The sequence below is a fragment of the Homo sapiens genome, chromosome 3 (assembly GCF_000001405.40).
Source record: "Homo sapiens chromosome 3, GRCh38.p14 Primary Assembly".
Lineage (NCBI taxonomy): Eukaryota > Metazoa > Chordata > Mammalia > Primates > Hominidae > Homo > Homo sapiens.
In genome coordinates, this window is record NC_000003.12 from 115,186,125 (window position 1) to 115,187,898 (window position 1,774).

General features: G+C 39.2%; 1 annotated feature.

The window, feature by feature from the left end:
- Positions 838 to 1,027: an enhancer, noted in NCBI's record as "active region_20284". NCBI's record gives its function as "activates an Ori minimal core promoter by ATAC-STARR-seq in GM12878 lymphoblastoid cells {active_cell/tissue: GM12878}" and the evidence as "EXISTENCE:reporter gene assay evidence [ECO:0000049][PMID:35858748]".

The following is a 1,774-nucleotide window of genomic DNA, read 5'->3' on the forward strand; positions in this document are numbered from 1 at the left end:
GGGGTTTTGTCTTGGCTAAAGTTAAGATTAACAACCAGCTGATCTTAATTTCTCCTTACCATTAGAGTGCTCAGTAATCATATTGTTGGTTTTGTTGTTGTTGTTTTTGTTTGTTCTGGTCCTTCTCCTTTCAGATTTGACCAACCCTACATGACTTGGTCAAATCTGAATGAGAATTTCAAAGTATGGGTAACAAGTCCTCTCTGAATTGGCTAAAATTCCTCACAGCTGTAAAAGAGGAAAAAACAAAAAACAAAAACCCAAAACTAGGCATTTGGTTTCTGTGTTTGCTTCCTGTCTGAAAAAAAAAAGGAAACAAAACAACAATTGTTCTTTTGTTTACTTTTCTTCCACCCCATACCGCCTTCCCCCTTTGTCATCTTCAGTACCAAGAAAAATCTAGAGAGAAGGCTTCTAATGACTCAAACTCCTTAGAGAACTCAGAACAAAGACACCACTCACCCCTTTTGGGATGTTCTGTTTTCTTTGTGGAGTTCCAAGAGTCATGGGCACATTCTTCTTAGGTCTAAAGCTCTGCTCTCCTGTATTGCATGACTTGACCTCTTTGGCTTTGGGGCTATTAGAGATTACCTTGTACTGTGAGAAGATTTGACCTTGGTGTGTATAATGGTAGGCAAGAACTCCAAAGTTAGGGGTGGCTGAAGGTGGTTTACAGGAAGTGGTTTTGGCTTTTTTTTTCCTTTCTTTCTCTCCTAGGAAGTTATTGTTTAAGGATTCTACTTTTAATTCGGAGATGCATTCTAAAGGGTCTTCTCTATTGCTTTTTCTCCCAGAATTAATGTCAGTTTGGCTTGTATGTGCACATTTGCGTGAGAAGCTGAACTGTTGTTTTCATAGGTAAATGAGAGATTTAGTTTTCTTAGCTTCGAAGAGAATGAACATTTTGCTCCACCCAGCTGAAAGGCACCCGTGGGTGACCAGGGGCCTCGTGGGAGTGTAGAGAGGGTTGACCACCTGTGATTTGCAGCAGCCCTATGGAGAATCCCCATCAAACTTGTTTAAAAAAGGGCTCATCCAGGAAGCACATATGGGAGCTGGTCACTGAGCTTTGAGCCCTCCTGGAGGTGGTAGACCTCCAGAGAATGAAACTGAGACATGAAAGAGGGTGGCAACAACTCAGTGGTAACACACTATGGAGTCCCACCCACAATCAGCACACACCACAAAAACCCTAGGCCATAGCTCAGTTCCTCCTTTTAAGAAAAAAAAGAAAAAGAAAAGTGGGAAATTAATAATCTAAAAACGAGGATAAAACAAGGAGAATGACCCCCTTTGGGGCACTCCATTGGTTTTATGGCACCTCTACTTGTTAGAGTTTGTCTAAAATAGAATTATTATGGTCTTTGTGCACATTTACATGAAAGAAAAGGGGCACTAAGATCGACCTTCAAACTACAGAGTTCTTAAGTTCTCTTTTTCTCTGTTTTTTTTTCTCCCTGCTTTAAAGCTGCTATTACTTTTTGACCAAGATAAAATCCACTGTTAGACTCCAACCATTCCTTTTCATTACTGTTTTCGCAGACCAATAAGTTTGTATTAATATCTCACGGCTAGAGTTCTGAAGTAAAAGCTATAGGATCTTTAGTGTATGAAAATGTATGTGTGTGTTTATGTGTACGTACATGTATTTTGTTGTGTTTTGGCCACAAGGTACCAAATTGGCTTAGTGAGTAGTCATCAATTAAATAATGAACCCCAATGGTTTTTAAGTTCATGTGACTTAAGTAAAATCTTTAATAATCTAGCTTTAAAA